At 50.3% G+C, this 17,510-nt stretch overlaps 2 long non-coding RNA genes across 2 annotated transcripts in view; both read right to left on the reverse strand.

The window, feature by feature from the left end:
* LINC02016 (long intergenic non-protein coding RNA 2016) overlaps positions 1–17,510 on the reverse strand; it is a 68,364-nt gene that overhangs the window by 49,815 nt on the left and 1,039 nt on the right. The window lies entirely within an intron of this gene.
* On the reverse strand, positions 12,533–16,777 carry LOC105374094 (uncharacterized). The gene is made up of 3 exons (XR_924459.3): positions 16,288–16,777; positions 13,763–13,952; positions 12,533–13,238 (listed from the first exon to the last, which is right to left on the reverse strand). It is a non-coding gene; the product is annotated as an uncharacterized LOC105374094 (long non-coding RNA).

Genomic DNA, 17,510 nt, shown 5'->3' on the forward strand with positions numbered 1-17,510 from the left:
AAGCACCCTGCTGTTTCCCGCACACACTTTGCCTCTCTTGCCTTTGCCACGCTCCTCCACAGCCAGCCTGGGATGAGGTTGTTGTGAGGATGTCCCTCTGGATGGCCACCCCACTCATTCCCAGACCCCTTACTCCTTCCTAAAAGTGAGAATGACATTGCGAAAGATGCCAATGGTGGAATTCCAGCCACCCTAGCAGACATTAGGGAAGACAGGCTCCCCTCAAAGCACATGGAGGAGGATCAGGAGGGTCCTGTGGTTCCAGCTTAGGGCTAAGGATCGGGGTCAGGGCATGGGAACCTGTAGCTGCCCCATACTCAGTGGCAGCCACACGGAGGGTGGAGGGAGGGGCCTGGCAGGCATTTCGGCCCTGTGGCCTCCTCTCGGGCCCTTGCTTCTGCGCCTGAGCCCCTACTCCACCCAGGCCCAATACTCCTTGGCTCTCAGCATCTGGCATGATTCTGACCTGAGGAGGCTGTTAGGCCAGAGGCTGGGAGAAGGGACCAGAGGAGTAAAAACGCTCAGGTTAGAAGTCAGAGGTCAGAGGGCATGGGCAAAGCTCAGGTCCCCCTCAGAGGGAGCATGGCAGGCAAACCTAGATTGCAGCACCCGTTCTGCCACTGACCACCGTGGAGTCACGGGGCCACTCTGAACCTCAGCTTTCCCACATATAAAATGGGTAAATAGGCCTTGCCCAGAGCAATTGCTGGAGCGAGGCTCTGAGAGTGCATGTGTGCAGTGAGCGAGGCTCTGAGAGTTTGTGTGTGCAGTGAGCCAGGAGCGAGGCTCTGAGAGTGTGTGTGTGCAGTGAGCCAGGAGCGAGGCTCTGAGAGTGCATGTGTGCAGTGAGCGAGGCTCTGAGAGTGTGTGTGTGCAGTGAGCCAGGAGCGAGGCTCTGAGAGTGCATGTGTGCAGTGAGCGAGGCTCTGAGAGTTTGTGTGTGCAGTGAGCCAGGAGCGAGGCTCTGAGAGTGCATGTGTGCAGTGAGCGAGGCTCTGAGAGTTTGTGTGTGCAGTGAGCCAGGAGCGAGGCTCTGAGAGTGTATGAGTGCAGCAAGCCAGGAGCGAGGCTCTGAGAGTGCATGTGTGCAGTGAGCGAGGCTCTGAGAGTTTGTGTGTGCAGTGAGCCAGGAGCGAGGCTCTGAGAGTGTATGAGTGCAGCGAGCCAGGAGCGAGGCTCTGAGAGTGCATGTGTGCAGTGAGCAACGCTCTGAGAGTGCATGTGTGCAGTGAGCCAGGAGCGAGGCTCTGAGAGTGTGTGTGTGCAGTGAGCCAGGAGCGAGGCTCTGAGAGTGTATGAGTGCAGTGAGCCAGGAGCGAGGCTCTGAAAGTGTGTGTGTGCAGTGAGCCAGGAATGAGGCTCTGAGAGTGCATGTGTGCAGTGAGCAACGCTCTGAGAGTGCATGTGTGCAGTGAGCCAGGAGCGAGGCTCTGAGAGTGTATGAGTGCAGCGAGCCAGGAGTGAGGCTCTGAGAGTGTATGAGTGCAGCGAGCCAGGAATGAGGCTCTGAGAGTGTATGTGTGTAGTGAGCCAGGAGTGAGGCTCTGAGAGTGCATGTGTGCAGTGAGCCAGGAGCGAGGCTCTGAGTGTGTGTGTAGTGAGCCAGGAGTGAGGCTCTGACAGTGCGTGTATGAGTGCAGGGAGTGATAGCTCTAAGGACAAACAGTGACCATGATGACAATGAGAACAATAATCATAATTTTTTGGCAGAATGAGAGCTGGATGCCTGGCCGGGGTCAGAACCTCAAAGCCTTGGGGCCAGCAGCAGGAAGAAGCCATGTAAGACTCCATGGAGGTGGGGCTGCAGAGCCCAGACCCACCCCCCAGCCTGGGCTCAGGTGCACTGGGGACCCAAGGGGACAAACTCTGCCAAGTTTTCAAAAGGAGCTGGAAATAAGAATTTTTAATGCCGAATTTGAGTTTTAAATATTGGTAACCAATTCATTTTTCAAAGCACGTTGCAGGCCAAATAAAACATCCAGGGCTAGATGGGCCGTGTTGGCCAGTTTGTACCCTTACCTCTTCTCAGTGAACCATCGCCTCAGGGCTTGATCCACCGACAGGGGGCACCCTTTCCAGGGCTGCTGGGGCCCAGCAGCTCAAAGAGGCTGTGCAGGAGCAGCTTAGTCCAAAACTGTCTGTCCCTGGGGGGCAGATGCTGCACACTGGGATCCATTCCCCAGACACCGTGGCTCCTGGAGGATCCTGGACCTCAGCCGGGCTGTGGGAGAGCCTCAGTTCTGCTGCAGCTCCTTCCCCACCACACCTGCCCCTGGTGCTGCCCCTGCTGCCCGGCACCTTGGACACACAGAGGCGCAGAGAGAGGGCCAGCGCTCAGGGCTCAGGACCAGGCACTGTGAAGGCGGGGAGGGTAGTCAAAGACCATGGTTCACAAATGGTCCTGGGCAGGTGGTGGGGATTGTGACTGCCACCCTGAGGAGCTCAATTAAAAAGCAGTTTCCTGGGGCCCAGCCCTGCAGAGTCTGATTCCTTAGGGCCAGTGAGTGTGCATTTTAAGAAGCATCCCGAGGGACTCCGATAGGTGTGCTGCAGACCCACTGAGAAGACAGGGAGGAGTGGGATCTGGTGTCCTGCCCCTCTGGCCCAGGCCCCAGGGCCCCCAGGACCTGCTGTGTCCCCAGCTAGTGCCCAGGCTCCTGCCATGGCTGCCCCTATGCCGGTGAATCTGAGGAGAGCACAGACTCCCCCTCATTGCATGGTGACTCCAGGAGGAAGCCATGGAGCATCTCCACCCACAGGTTCTTCTGGCTAGTGCATGCCCCTCCTGGCTCTTTAAGAACCAGGCCTGCAGCAAGCAGTGGGGGCTTCTCCTACCCAACCCTTGAGACCAGTTTGGAGGTGTTTGTCTCAGGCTCTGGTCTTCAGCTGTGGCTCTGTCCTCTTGGTCTGCAAGGGTGACTCCCCAGTCTGGCTGTGCATCCCAGGTCCCTAGAGGCTTTGGAAAACTAGGGTTCCCTGGTTTCTACATGAGAGAGAACCAGCTGGCTCCAGTGCCCAGCTCCAGGAACGCACCCTCCAGAACCGTCCTGGTGCATGAGGCAGCAAGAGTCCTCAGGGGGCCCTGCACATGCCCTGCGCCCCTACCCTGGCCCCAGCCTCAACATGGCCAGTCACAGAACCTAGCCCCCTGGCAGCATTTCTGGGGCATACCCAGGCCGGGACAATAAGAGCCCTCCCCAGGGATTTTTCCTGCAGGAACCCTGTGGGGAGAGAGGTCACTCCCTCTGGGGTGGGAGCTGCTCGTCAGTGCACCCCAGAGCTGGAGGAGCAAAGAAGAGGGCAGCCCCAAAGGCAATGGGATTCTTGGCCAGCTGCCAGGGCACCCCAGCCTCATCGCAGTTCCAAGAGAAGCCCCTGTGCCCTCACAGTCAATTCCCTTCTTGCCTAAGCTAGTTGGCGTTATGTCACTTGCAACCAAATATATCACCCTAAACCTACTGACTCAGAAGTTTTGTATTTTTAACAAGTTCCCCAGGTGATTCTCGGCCGAACTGCGCTTGAGAAGCACTGATGTACAGCACTGCCAATTAGGCTGCTGGTGTTCTTGGGACTCAGGCCATCTTCACGCTGGAATCTGTCAGTTCCAATTCATACCAGCCCTCCCCCTACCCCCAGCATCTGCACATCAAACCCCGTGATATAATCCCTGCACAGCCGTTGGGAGGGAGAGGGGTCTGAACATCCAGGCCCAATCACTGAGCAGCTGGAAACATGAAGCCCCTGGAGGGAAAGCCCCAGAGGTCTTCTCCAGAGAGAATAAAAGGTAGGGAATGCGAAAGAAGGGGCTCTATCCTAAAGGTTTGATCAGAGGAGAGCAAAGGGAGGAGTCCAGGACTAGTTTTATCTACCCGTTTAGCAAATATTTCCTGAGCTTCTACTGACTGTATCCCAGATACTGTGCAAGGTACAGGGGACCCCTGTAAGCAGGTGGGGGCTCCCTGCTCTCCAGGCCCTGACTTTGTCAGGGAGAGATATGAAATACCCAGGCCAGTGCTACATGAACATATGACTACAGACCCTGCAGGAAAGAAGCAGGGTCTCGGCACACACACTCGCCTCCCAATATCTATTCTCGCCTCCTTTTCAGCTGGGTACAGCCATGGTGCACACTTCCCAGCCTCTTCTGCAACTGGATGTGGCCACAAGAGAGTTCCTGCCAATGGAATTTGGGCAGAAGTAAATGTGTAACTTCTGTCTTAGTCTGACCAGGCTGCTATAACAAAATGACTTAGACTGGGTAATTTACAAACACAAGAAATGTATTGCTCACAGTTGTAGAGGCTAGAAAGTTCAAGATCAAGGCACCAATTTGATGTCTGGTGAGGGCCTGTTCCTTGTGGATGGAGCCTACTAAATGTCCCCACATGGTGGAAAGGGTGGACAGGCTCCTTCAGGCCTCTTTTATAAGGGCACTAATTCCATTTGTGAGGGTCCCACCCTCATAACTTAATCACTCCCTAAACACACCACCTATTTACACTATTACACTGGGTATTAGGCTCCAATATATAAATTTTGGAGGGACACAAACAGACTATACTTCCTTAGAAGTATCTTATGATTGGAGAGGTGAGTGTCCTCCTTCCTCGTCCTCCCTCCTTCCCATTGGAAGGGAGACGCAATGGCCAGAGCTGGAGCAGCCTTCTGGGTCTATGAGGGGTATGCCACATGTTGAGAGGCATGGAACAAGAGAGGAGCCTGGGTTCCTGAGGCTAACGGAGGTGCCGTGGGAGTCTGGCACTGTTGACCTCCAGACCTCACTTACAAAAGAGGGAGAAAGATATCTTTCTCTAGCTCTGTCATGGCTGTTCCGACACAATGGCCCTCTGAGAAATTGTAACAGGGGGATTCATTTCAACTGGGAAAAGACCTCTTTGAGGAAATCTCTTTGACTTGGGTACTGAAAGACAGACAAAAGTTGGCCAAGGAGAGAGAAGGAGGAGAAGCTCTTAAATGAGATAAATTCCAAAAGGAGGCTGCTTGGGCCGGAGCAGAGAGTTACCAGAATTGGGGGATCTGGAATGGGTCCCAGTTTGAGAGGTAGGGATGTTTTTTAAATAAAAATCAGTGGTTTTTTTTTTTTTTTTTTTTTTTTTTTTTTTTGAGACAGAGTCTCACTCTGTCGCCCAGGCTGGAGCTGGGGCTGCAAGGGGTGGGGGGACACAAGCAGCCTGTGGGCCAAGTCAGGGAGCTAGGGGCACTGAGAAACCCCAAGAGAGTCTTAAAGCAGGCAAGCAACAGAAACAGATTTTTATGGCTGAGTGCAATGGTTCACGCTTGTAACCCCAGCACTTTGGGAGGCCAAGGCATGCAGATCACCTGAGGTCAGGAGTTTAAGACCAGCCTGGCCAACATGGTGAAACCCCATCTCTACTAGAAATACGAAAAATTAGCCGGGCATTATGACACACGCCTGTAATCCAAGCTACTCAGGAGGCTGAGAGAATCACTTGAACCTGGAAGCTGGAGGTTGCAGTAAGCCAAGATAGCACCACTGCACTCCAGCCTGGGTGACAGAGCGAGACTCTGTCTCAAAAAAAAAAAAAAAAAAAAAAACAATGATTTTTATTTGAAAAACATCCCTGCCTCTCAAACTGGGACCCATTCCAGATCCTCCTATTCTGGTAAGCACCTGCCATCCTCATTAGAGGGCACCGTTAGTTGCCTTTTACAGATGCAGAATCAGAGAGGTTAAGTGGCATGCTCAGGGTAACTCAGCTCACATGAGTCCCAGCAGGCGCCTGAGCCCAGACCCACCTGACTCTCAGACCCTGAGATCTCTCTGCACTGTTTGCCACACCACTCCCATCCCAAGCCCTTACCCCCAGGTGACCAGGCTCCTGGTGTCCAGCCGGACCCACCTGGAGGAGATGCATGCTCACCCTGGCTGCAAGCACTGGAGGTTTTCAGGCTGCTCAGGGGCCTTAGAGAGCACTGGTCTCCCAAACACGCACCGCACAGATTGGGGACTGAGGCCCTGCAGAAGCAGGGTCTCCCAAGGCCACAGGATGCAGACCAAAAATGAGGTCCAGGGCTCGAAGCTTCTCAGGACAGGCTCTCAGGGGCCAGGGAGCTAGTCTGAAAAACTGCCCCCCATTCAAATGCAGCAGGCTAGCCCTGGCTTCCCACAGACAAGCCTCCACATCTGCTGTCCCTTCTTCCCTGCCCCTTGTCATCCCAGAATCCAGTGATCTGGGCCAAAGAATCCGGGCCCAACTCACAAGTACGAAAGGTGCCATTGCAGGCCGGATAGCAAGGGGGGCTGAACTCCCTCCCTCTTACATGGCTAACGGGGCTCATCAGCATTAATCATCGAGTGCTTGGGAGCCAGAGCCTCTAAGAGAAGGCACAGAGTGCAGCTGCTTAGGCTCTCCTTGCCCAAGCTCCAGACAGCGTGGAAAGGACATGGGCAGAAGAGGCAGAAAGTGGCTCAAGCCTCACCCCCACCCCTTCCAGAAGACTGTGAACTCCCCTGAGACTCCTTTCCTCAGACCCACCTGGTGGAGATGAAAGGACTTTGCAAACTGGAAAATGTTATGCTAATATGGAGACTGGTTATAATCAGGTATAGCAAAAGAGTTGCTGCCTTCATGGTATTTTAAATGTGGATAGTTTTCTCAGTTCCCCAAGTACCTTATCCGGCCAGAATTTACACAATTATGGAGTCATCCGTCCAGTGACAGGACTGCCTATTTCAAATCCCTTCTGGGAAAAGCAAAACCCTACTAGGAACAACACAACATTGTCTAATTAGTCATTTATACTTTAGTATAAATGAGTCTGTACCCATCCTTTCTGAGAGGAGAGCCTCAAGCAGGAAAGGGAATTTTATTAGGGAAAGGTTGATGGGAAGGGATGATTATGGAGCCAGGGACAGAGACTTGCTGGGGGGTCCCTTCCGGAAGTTGGGATCAGACTGGACACAATTGAAACCACAGGCCTTGTAAGGCCTGGAGGTAAAGGAGGACTCAGGGGGCATCAGGAGAAGGAGTTGGCTGCCTCCTGAGGCCCCAGCCTTTCTTTACCTTTAATCCTTCTCTCCTGTGGGCCCTGCCGCACAGCCTGCAAACATGCTCAAGATTCTCCCACCCGGAAAAGTCCCTCTTTCAGTCCCCTGCACATCTCAGCAGACAGAATGTGGGCTTTGCAGTCAGATGATCTTGAGTTCCATGCTTCACTCTGCCACTTGTCCACAAAATGGCTTCAAGAACCACTGTTTTACTAATCTTTGTACCTCCAGACCCAAACCCAGAGCCTGGTACAGAAAATAAAAATAAAAAACAGGCTCCAAAAACATTGTTGAGATGGATGATGGATTTTCTGAGCTTCAGTGTCCTCACCTGCAAAATGTTATCAAGGAAAAGCAGAGTAAAAATATTTGTTTATACTAAAGTATGAATGGCTGATAGGATTTTGCAGAGATTTTAAAGAGGAATATCCCCAGACTCAAAGGGACAACAAAATAAGCCCTTCCTCACAGGGCAGTGGTGAGGACTAAATGCAGTTATTTATGTATTCATTTAATAAATCTATAGCAAGCTACTATGTGTGCCACACACTGTTCTAGGCACTGGGGTTAAAACAGTGAACAACAATGAAAAATTCCTGCCCTTATGGAGCTGACATTTAGTGTAGAGGACTGGCAATACACTAACAAATAAATAATAACTCAATATATAATATAAAGTCAAGTAATGATCAGTTCATTGAAGAAGATTAAAATGGAATGAGGGGTGGCATGTGATGGTGGAACACTGGTTTAGATGGGATGGTCTGGGAAGATCTCTGTGAGGAGGTAACATTTGAACAGAGACCTAAATGAATGCATCATGCAAATATCTTGGGAAAAAGAAGCTTAGGAGTATAACCATATTACCTTGGGGTGAGCAAAGATGGCTTGAAAGATATACAGAAAACCTTCAGCCATAAAAAATATAATTGGCAAGTTGGACTACATTGAAGTGAAGACTTTCCATCCATCAGAAGGCACCATCAGGAGACTGAAAATGCAAGCCATGGAGTGGGAGAGGATATTCAGAACATGTACATCTATCAAAGGACTCATAACCAGAATAGAAACATTTCCTACAAAGCAATAAACAAAGATACCACTCAATAGAAAAGTGAGCAGGATTTGGACCTTCATGAAACAGGATAGCCCAATAGCCAGTAAATGCAGGAGAGGGTGCCTGACTTCAATGATCATCAGAGGATTGCAAATTAAAACACCAATGAGCTACTGCTGCACACCTTCAGAATGATTATAATGAAAATGACAGAAAAAGGCCATGTGCTGGAAATCCTGGAACACTCTTAGGCTGCTGGTGGGGGAGTACATTGGTACAATCTCCATGGAAGAGAGATTTGCAGCATCTATTAAAGCTAACATATGCCAACCCTATGACCAAGCACTTCCACTCCTAGGCCCACACTCAATTGAATGGCATACATACATTCATAAAAAGAAGGGTATGAGAAGATTCATAGCAGCATTATTTGTGAAAACCAAAAACGAGAAGCTACCCAAATGCTCAGTAATGAAGAGGTGGATGTGAAGTGTGGGGCACTGGGACAAGCTAGAAACCAAAAAACAGACTGGCCCCATGTTGGTCTCTGTCATGCCAGCCCCAGCCTCTGACTTTATCGATGGAGTGAGCTGGCCCAGGAGTCAGAGAAACCGAAAAACACTGGCTGATGACACGTCTGATGGAGAGGGGGAAGGATTTAAAATCAAAAGTGACGATAGCCACCTCTGCTTTCTGAGTTTTATGAAACAATCCCAAACAGCAGAGAAATTGGGATTTTTGTGTGCTGTCCCTTTGATAGAGAAAATTGTAAAAGGAGGAGGTGGCCCTGGTTTGGCACAACACGGATGTGATGGGTCTCTGGCCATGCAAAAGTGGAGCTGTGCTGAGAACAGAGGGTAGTGAAATCAGTCTGCCTGAGTGGCGGAATGAAGTTGGGGGAACCAAAAGCTGAGGGTCCCAGAAAACAGAGACCTGGCCATTCCTTGGAGGAAAGAGAGTGTGTGAGTGTCTGGGGCCCTTCCTGGGGAGGCCAAAGGAGCCTTGAGGACAGGGGATGTCTTCTGTTTACCTTGGGGCTGTCTGCTGGGAGATACTGTGACATAGCCCTCCTCAATCTTAAATCATCAGTCAGTTTTGCAAGACACCCACCTGCCTGGTGTAAGGAAAAGAGAATGTGTCATACATTAGGAGCAATTGAAGGCAGAACAGAAACAGCCCATATGGCTCAGAAAGACAATCCAAAAATGGAACCACCTCAGTTACAACCGAAGCTCAGAGCTAAGAGGGAAGTGGGAAAATGTACACCTCCTCCAAAATACCCAGAGAAGCTGGGAGAGAACCGGACCTCTCCAAGGACAAGACATCTCAGCTGACATCCAGATTACACCTATGTAACCTAAACTAGTTCAGAGTATAGAGATGGAGGAAACTTTTATAAGTTCATTTCATAGAACTTAACAAAACATACATACTAAACTAATTTTTACTTATAAAAAGGTGCAAAACTCCTGAATAAAATATTAGCAGAATGAATCCAGTAGTAGTAACAGAATAATATGCTAATATAACACAGAAATATAGGAATGCAAGGCTGGTTCAATATTAGCAGAGCTGTTGGTGTCGTTCACATTAACAGGCTAAAAAGGAGGGCTTGAACTATGTTCATGGCTGTAAAAAGGAATTTGATAAAATCAAACATCCATTGCTGATTTTTTAAAAAAGCTTTCAGTAAACAGAATATTAAAAGAAACTTTCTTACCTTTGATAGAGTATTTATCAGAAACCAAATAGGAAAGATCAGATTTCACTATAAAAGACACAGGGTATCATTGGAATGATTTCTTCCAGGAAAACCTCATATTCTCCAGGGTACAGCTGCATCCAGTTTCCCCACTATACACTTTCACTCTCCCCATCCTTGTTTCTCCTCAAAGCTTCCTGATAGACTTTGTCCATTTTGTTCACATCTGCATTTCCAGGACCTAGAGCAACCTCTGCCACACAGCTAATGTTAAATCAATGGTGAATGAGTGAAAAAATAGAAACAAATCAAATATGCTCACTATTACCATTCCATTCAACATTATCCTAGGGATTATAGATGAGGCAAAAAAAGAGGAAAATGAGACGAAGGGTAAATATTGGAAAGAAAAGGATAAAACTATAAGTCTTTGCAGCTAATGTAAACATCTATCTGGAAAATTCAAGAAGAGACTTCAGAAAGATATTCAGATATGATATTCATATACAAATACAACACTATTTTCAAAAATCCTATATAAGTCAAGATGATACTGGTCACAAAGGCACCCAACTGAAAATGGTTAAAAGCAAGAAAGTTTGGGGTTTTGTGTTTGGGTTTGGTGAGAGGTGGGTTAGCTCCTTAACAAGACAGGCTGTGGACATTTCCATCTTAAGCACAGCTAGCTTGAGGGCCTCCAGTGATGCCAAAACAGCTTTTTAATTTTCATTTTTGTTTTTATCTCTGCCTGTCTATGTCTGGCTCCATTTTTCAGGCAGAAATTTTATAAGCATCAGAGGAAACAGCCACTGGCAACCCCAGACATACAATCCCAGCAGAAACAGTGTTTCTCCCTCACCACATTTAAAGAATATTTTCAGAGAGGATTGGTGGTCTGCCTTGGGTCACATTCCAACTGCCCCAGCCAAATAGGATGTCATTAGTAGTCCAGCCAGGACCGTGTGGCTATCCTGGTGACTCCGTGTGTGTGTGTGTGTGTGTGTGTGTGTGTGTGTGTGTGTGTGTGTGGTGTGGCCAGTGGAAGGAGGGCAGACCTTAATTGGTAGGTTCAACAGGACCACATGGAATGGGGCAAGAGTTCCCCTAAGGCAAGGGGTGCTATTATCACTGGAAAAGGGAGGTGGCAGGCATTCTGAGAGCACACAACATAGCAGCAACAGCCGACTACAATCCACCCCTTGGCTACTCAGAAGAGAAACACACGCTCTCACCATGCATAAAATCTCAAAACTCTTCCTTGCTTAAATTATGCTTTCATCCCACGTACATCCAAAATACATTCCCCTCCCCGAAGGGAGACAACCCAAATCACATTGAGATAACGTCAGCAGCTCCTAGTCCCGGATCTCTGAGCAATGCACCTTCCTCTAATGTGTTCTCACTGTGACCCTTTGTCTGACAAGCTGTGCCTTAGTTATGGATCTGAACCCCTCCACACACCCTGTATAGAATGCCCACCTGTGCACTTAGAAACTGTGAGCTTGTACAGCACCTTTCTCTCATCCTCTCCACCTCTTCAGTACTGCACCAGGAGAGTTCCTCATTCCATGGTCACATTCACCAAGCCACCTTCAGAGGTGGCGACTCGCTGCTCAGCCTGCCACTAAACCCTGACTTCAACGGCTTTATTCCAGAGACCTGTATCTGGCTCTTTTCCACACTGTTACTGTCTTAAACCTGCCCCTCTGAAGATGTTAATTCTACTTTTCTCTTTGTGCTGCTAGCTGCATCTCCCTGGGTGTTAGTTCCTAGTTATTGAATGCTGTATTTCGGTTTGCTGACTTGGGATGGATGCTCATGTTTGTAGATGAGATTATGGTTTCCCCGGTTGCCTCTGTTTACTGTGGCGGTGGGGGTGGGGCCGGGGTCCCCCCTGGAACCCCCGTTTCTCTCAGATCCCCCATCACCAGAGGATTATTCAACGGCCACTCCGCTGCTCCAGCCTGGAGGCAGACATCCTCCCACCTCCCTGTTGACAGGTGTCAGGGAAGAGGGAGGCTGACAATTACTCAGACGCCAGCTCTGCACCCAGACACCTGAGCAACTGTCCCCAAGCCTTCTGCTCCTTGTCTGTGAGCCTTGCCTTTAGAACACCGTGGGCAGCTCCCACCTGGGATTCTTCATCCAGCCAGTCCCTCTGTGTTCAAACTCTCAGGAACTCCTCAGCATCTCTGCCTTGTTTATGGCACTTATTTGGTCATTGTTTTCTAGAGCTATTCTGGATTCATGGCAGCGGGAGAGAATGAGAGAGGCAAAGAGACAGAAAGATACTTTCTGTCATTTCCAGGGATCTGGAGCAGGAGGAGGAGGTGGGGGAGGGGTGTATGCTTAATCTGCCATCTGTATCTTTTCCTTTTTTATCCCCATATAAAAGTATATTACAACAGCTGATAATAAAGGATATGCATAGAATAAAATTAAAATAGAAGAACAGAACTGACGAAAGGAAGAGGGGCAAATATTTCAATTATAAGGGTTACAGATTGCAGCCATAAACTACCCAGTGGCCAGAGTAAAGAGTGGAACTAGACTGTGAGCTCCCAGAGATCAAAGACGGTGTCCCAGCCACCTCAGTGTGCTTAGCCCTGGGCCGATCATAACCCAAGCAGTTTTTCAATAAACTTTTGGTGAATGAACACATGTAACCACTTGATTCTTCATCAAGCAACCCTGCCCTTGTTAACTGGTAAGAACACAGCATAAGATTTCATCGGTAGTGATATTGTTTTTCCTGCCAGTAAATCAAAAGCCATTTATTATATATAACATCATGGATAGGGTGCTTGACTGCTGCTGAGAAGAAGCAGGAAATATTGTTGTGACCAGTTTTCAAATGATCTTTGACAAAACCGGAGAGTGGAACAGACAAACCCCAGGGAGGCTGCTCTCGACCTCTGCTGTCCAGTGGCCCCTCCGCAGGGCTGCCCTGCCCAGTCCGCTCTGGCCAGGGGAGTGGAGCAGGAGGTGATGACCCTCACCACACCCTCCCTCCCCGCAGCGCTCGAATCTGAAGAGGGACAGCTCTTTCTGTACTGTTCATGACCTAAGACACTCGACTTCATTCAACTGAGCCGGGTCTTGCCGAAGCTGCTCCTATCTGCTCCCTGGTGCTTGGACAAGAAGACAAAGGCCCTGAGTGCTGGTCCTGGGCATTCCATGGACTCTCACACAGTCACTGCTTCGGTCCCGCCTTTATTCTTGTGCAGGAAGGTTGTGCAGCCCCTCCTCAGAGCCAGGCCTTGTGCAGGACATGAGACACAGGGAGCCCAGTGAGACCTCCGCCCTTCAAGAGCCATGGTGTGATGAAGAATGTAATTTGCATAGGAGGCTCCATTTCCTCCTCTGTAGAACAGGGATGACGATGTCTGTGTCCTGGAACCCTCAGGTGGTGGTGATCGGCACACATCTACTCTCAGCTTCCCAAGGCTCTGGGAGGGGATCAGGGATTTTATACACATGCCCAGCCCTCATCCCCTAGAGCTGCCTCACTGCCTGCCCTGGCGGTTTGGATAGGGCAGTGCATTGGGAAAGTGGATTCCAGTACCCGAGGGGAAGACTCCACTTCCATTAAGTTTCGCTTTATAAGCTAAACACTCTATGTCACCTGTAGTTAAGTTGTCTCTTTGAAGATTAAGTAGAGGTTTCCTCTCTTAGGGCAGGTGGAGGAGAGGAGAGGAATGCTAATGGGCTGATTCTCCTTCGAGGCCGAGGCCGAGGCCGGGGCTGAGGGTCCCCTTCATGGCCCTGCCTGCTAGAGGCTGTTGGGCTGTGCAGGAGGCAGCCTTGAGCAGGGGACACCTCCAGGGCAATCCTGAGGTGCATCTCAGCTCAGCCTCTTGCTACCTCTGGACTTGTCTTTGTCTCAGTTTTCCCATCTGTAAAATGGGCATTAATATTCTTTTGCCTTAAGTATGCAGAAATGTGAATATGGCTCCCCCGACAAAGTACCCACCTGTGGGAGGAGGTGTTCCCCTGGAGTGGGCGTGTCTCCTCGCTGGTCCTCCTCACCTTCTTTTTCACAAAAGAGGCAGCCAGGGAGCACAGCAGATGGGCGGCTGTGACCCAGACCCACATAAGGATGACATGGCACAGTCTCCTAGTGTCACATGCTGATGGCCCTGTAGCAATAGTTCTGCAAGAAGCTGTGAATTTGCATTACGTGAGGAACTTGTAGAAAAAGGCAAATTTTACAAAGTATATGGTATACAGATAATAAGATTTTCTAGTGTTTCAAAATTGAAGCATTAAGGGTAAACGCTTAGACAAAGATTTGTTAAAACACTTGTAAAGACATAAAAGTGGAAACAGTAGAAACCACTCAAATGTCCATCAACTGCTGAAGGGGTGAATGCAACATGGCACATCCACGGGGTGAAATATTACTCAACCATAAAAGAATCGGCCGGGCATGGTGGCTTATGCCTGTAATCCCAGCACTATGGGAGGCCAAGGCTGGGAGATCGCCTAAGGTCGGGAGTTCAAGACCAGCCTGACCAATGTGGAGAAACCCCATCTCTACTAAAAATACAAAATTAGCTGGGCGTGGTGGCGCATGCCTCTAATCCCAGTTACTCAGGAGGCTGAGGCAGAAGAATCACTTGAATCTGGGAGGCAGAGGTTGTGGCGAGCTGAGATTGCGCCATTGCATTCCAGCCTGGACAACAAGAGCGAAACTCCATCTCAAAAAAAAAAAAAAAAAAAGAATCAAGGAATGAAGTGTTGCAGCACAGCGTCGGGAGCCCTGAAACCCCTATGGGTGGTGAAGGAAGCCAGGCATGGGGCCGCACCGCCTGCAAGACAAATTCCATCTATACGAAAGGTCCAGAATAGTGCATCTCTGCAGACAGAAAGTAGATTGGTGGGTGCAAGGGCATGGGGATAGGCCATGGGGCATGGTTGTGGTTTCTTATTGCGGGTGACATGTTATGGGATTGGATATTGGTGACTGCCACAAAAAAAAAACCCACTGAATTGTTTATTTGTAAAAGGTAAATTTTAAGGAATGTGAATTCCATATCAAAGTGTTATTTAAAATGTTTGTCTCCTCAAATTAGTAAAAGATTCACACAAAAGACAGAGAAGCTGACTTTGTCTCTGATAGAAAACATCTCAGAATGACGTCCTCTGTTGTGGAAACAGATCACTAGGACTATTCAATTGTTTAAATCTCCAGCAGCATATCTAAACATTTGTCATTGTTTAAAAAAAAAAAAAAAAAAGATGCCCCTGGCCAAGCCCTGCTCTAGGCTATCGAGAGTCCCTCACCCAGCAGTGTCCATCCCCCCGCGGCATCCATCCCCCTGGCAGTGTCATCCACCCAGCAGTGTCATTCCCCCAGAGGTGTCATCCCCCCGCCAATGTCACTCACCCGGCAGTGTCATCCCCCCGCCAGTGTCACCCACCCACCGGTGTCGCCCATCAAGCAGTATCATCCCCCCACCAGTGTCATCCCCTTGCCAGTGACACCCACCCACCAGTGTCATCCCCCACCAGTGTCACCACCCAAAAGTGTCATTCCCCCACCAGTTTCACCCTCCTGTCAGTGTCACCCACCCACCAGTGTCACCCCCAGCCAGTGTCACCCACTCAGCAGTGTCACCCCCAGCCAGTGTCACCCACCCAGCAGTGTCATCCCCCACCAGTGTCACCCATCCAGCAGTGTCATCTCCCCACCAGTTTCCTCCTCCTGCCAGTGTCATCCCCCTGCCAGTGTCACCCCCTCGCCAGTGTCACCCTCGCCAGTGTCACCCCCACCAGTGTCACCCCTGCCAGTGTCATCCCTCCACCAGTGTCACCCACCTGCCAGTGTCACCCCCTCCCAGTGCCACCCACCTGCCAGTGTCACTTGCTTGTCAGTGTCATCCCACCCACCAGTGTCATCCCCCCGCCAGTGTCACCCACCCACCAGTGTCATCTACCTGGTGGTGTCATCCCCCCGACAGTGTCACCCACCCGACAGTGTCATCCACCCAGCAATGTCACCCACCCAGCTAGCACTTGCAGTGCAAACGGGTTTTGGACCCCTGCCTGTGCTTCCCCTGCCCCTGGGGACCTGGGAGTGTCCCATTTTGCATCTTCGTTTGCCCTCCCTGGTTTCTCCTGGGCTCTCTGCTGGCCCTCTTGTCTCCAGGCCTAGGTCCCCAGATAGCTCTCTGTCTTGTTCACCCCACACTGGGGTCCAGTAGTAATACCCACTGTGTCCGTTCCCTGGTGTTCTGTATCCCTTCCACCCCGCCTTGTCTGCCACTCCTGAGCCATGTTGTCTTCCAGAAAATGCTACAAAGACAGCCATCTCTCTGGATCCCCCAACTCATCCCCCGGCTTCTACCATCCCTGCTCCCCAGCTCCACCCAGAAGACGCTGGCAGGGCATAGAGCCTTCGCAGGACACAGGTCTGTCTCACTCAAATCCTCCTCCTCTCCCTGTGGTGAGTTGCAAATAAAAAGGTCACAAATGTCTTTACTCCCCTATGCTCACCCCCTTGCAAGATGACCGTGTGCTCTGCTTCTCCCGTCAGGAGAGTAGGGGCTCCTTCCTTCTACCCCCCAGCCTGGGCCTGGCCAAGGGGACGCTAGCAAATGATGCAAGAAGAGACTGGAAAAGAGCCTGGCTTTACAGCCCTCCTTGACTGCCCAGGGAAGAAGCCTGGGCTGGGCTTCTTGAGGATAGAAGACTGGCACCCAGCCCCGGGCCTCTCAGCGGCCACCCAGACATGTGAGCGAGGCTGCCACAATGATCCAGCCCCAGCTGAGCCCACGGAGACCAGAACTCCCCGGGCAACCCACAGAACAATGAAAAAATTACTGTCGGTTGTGCTGCCTTTGGCCCCTGGGTTTTGGGAAGGCTTGCTATGCCATGAAAGCTAACTGACGTACCCCCTCCTGCTTCTCCAGCCCCAGAGACTCTGTTTCCTCCTGAGAGGGAGAAGCTGTCACTGGCTCCACACCTGCTCCTTCACGTCTCTGAGAAGCTTTGAGACCCTCAGGGCATTTGATAGGGGCACACCAGGCTCTTGCAAATTAAAAGCATTGACTCCTGAAATGGAAAAACTAAGACTCTAACTCTTGTTCACCTGCAGTAACTTTCCTCCATAAGGCCACCGGATGTCTCATGGTCAAGTTTTTTTTGTTTTTTTTTTTGAGACGGAGTCTCGCTCTGTTGCCCAGGCTGGAGTGCAGTGGCGCGATCTCGGCTCACCGCAATCTCCGCTTCCCAGGTTCATGCCATTCTCCTGCCTCAGCCTCCCAAGTAGCTGGGACTACAGGCACCCGCCACCACACCCAGCTAACTTTTTGTATTTTTAGTAGAGACGAGGTTTCACCGTGTTAGCCAGGAAGGTCTCGATCTCCTGACCTCATGATCCGCCCGCCTCAGCCTCCCAAAGTGCTGGGATTACAGGCATGAGCCACCGCGCCCAGCCCATGGTCAGGTTTTAATAGGGGAATAACTACTAGTCAAAGAGGAATTAGGATAGACAAAAAAATAATTTTTAACACACCAAAATACGATCTCATCACATACTTATTGAGTGCCCGCTAGACTCCGGATGCCTGGTAGGAGCCAAGGACACAATGAAGGCGAGGAGACCCAGACCCCACTCTCCTGGGCTCTCTGTCTGGCCTGGGATCCAGCTAGCCCTCAGGTCACCACAAGAATGGTGACTCATCCATCCATTCACTCTTCCGCTCGCATGGCAAGTA

This window comes from Homo sapiens, chromosome 3 (genome assembly GCF_000001405.40).
Source record: "Homo sapiens chromosome 3, GRCh38.p14 Primary Assembly".
Classification (NCBI taxonomy): Eukaryota; Metazoa; Chordata; class Mammalia; order Primates; family Hominidae; genus Homo; species Homo sapiens.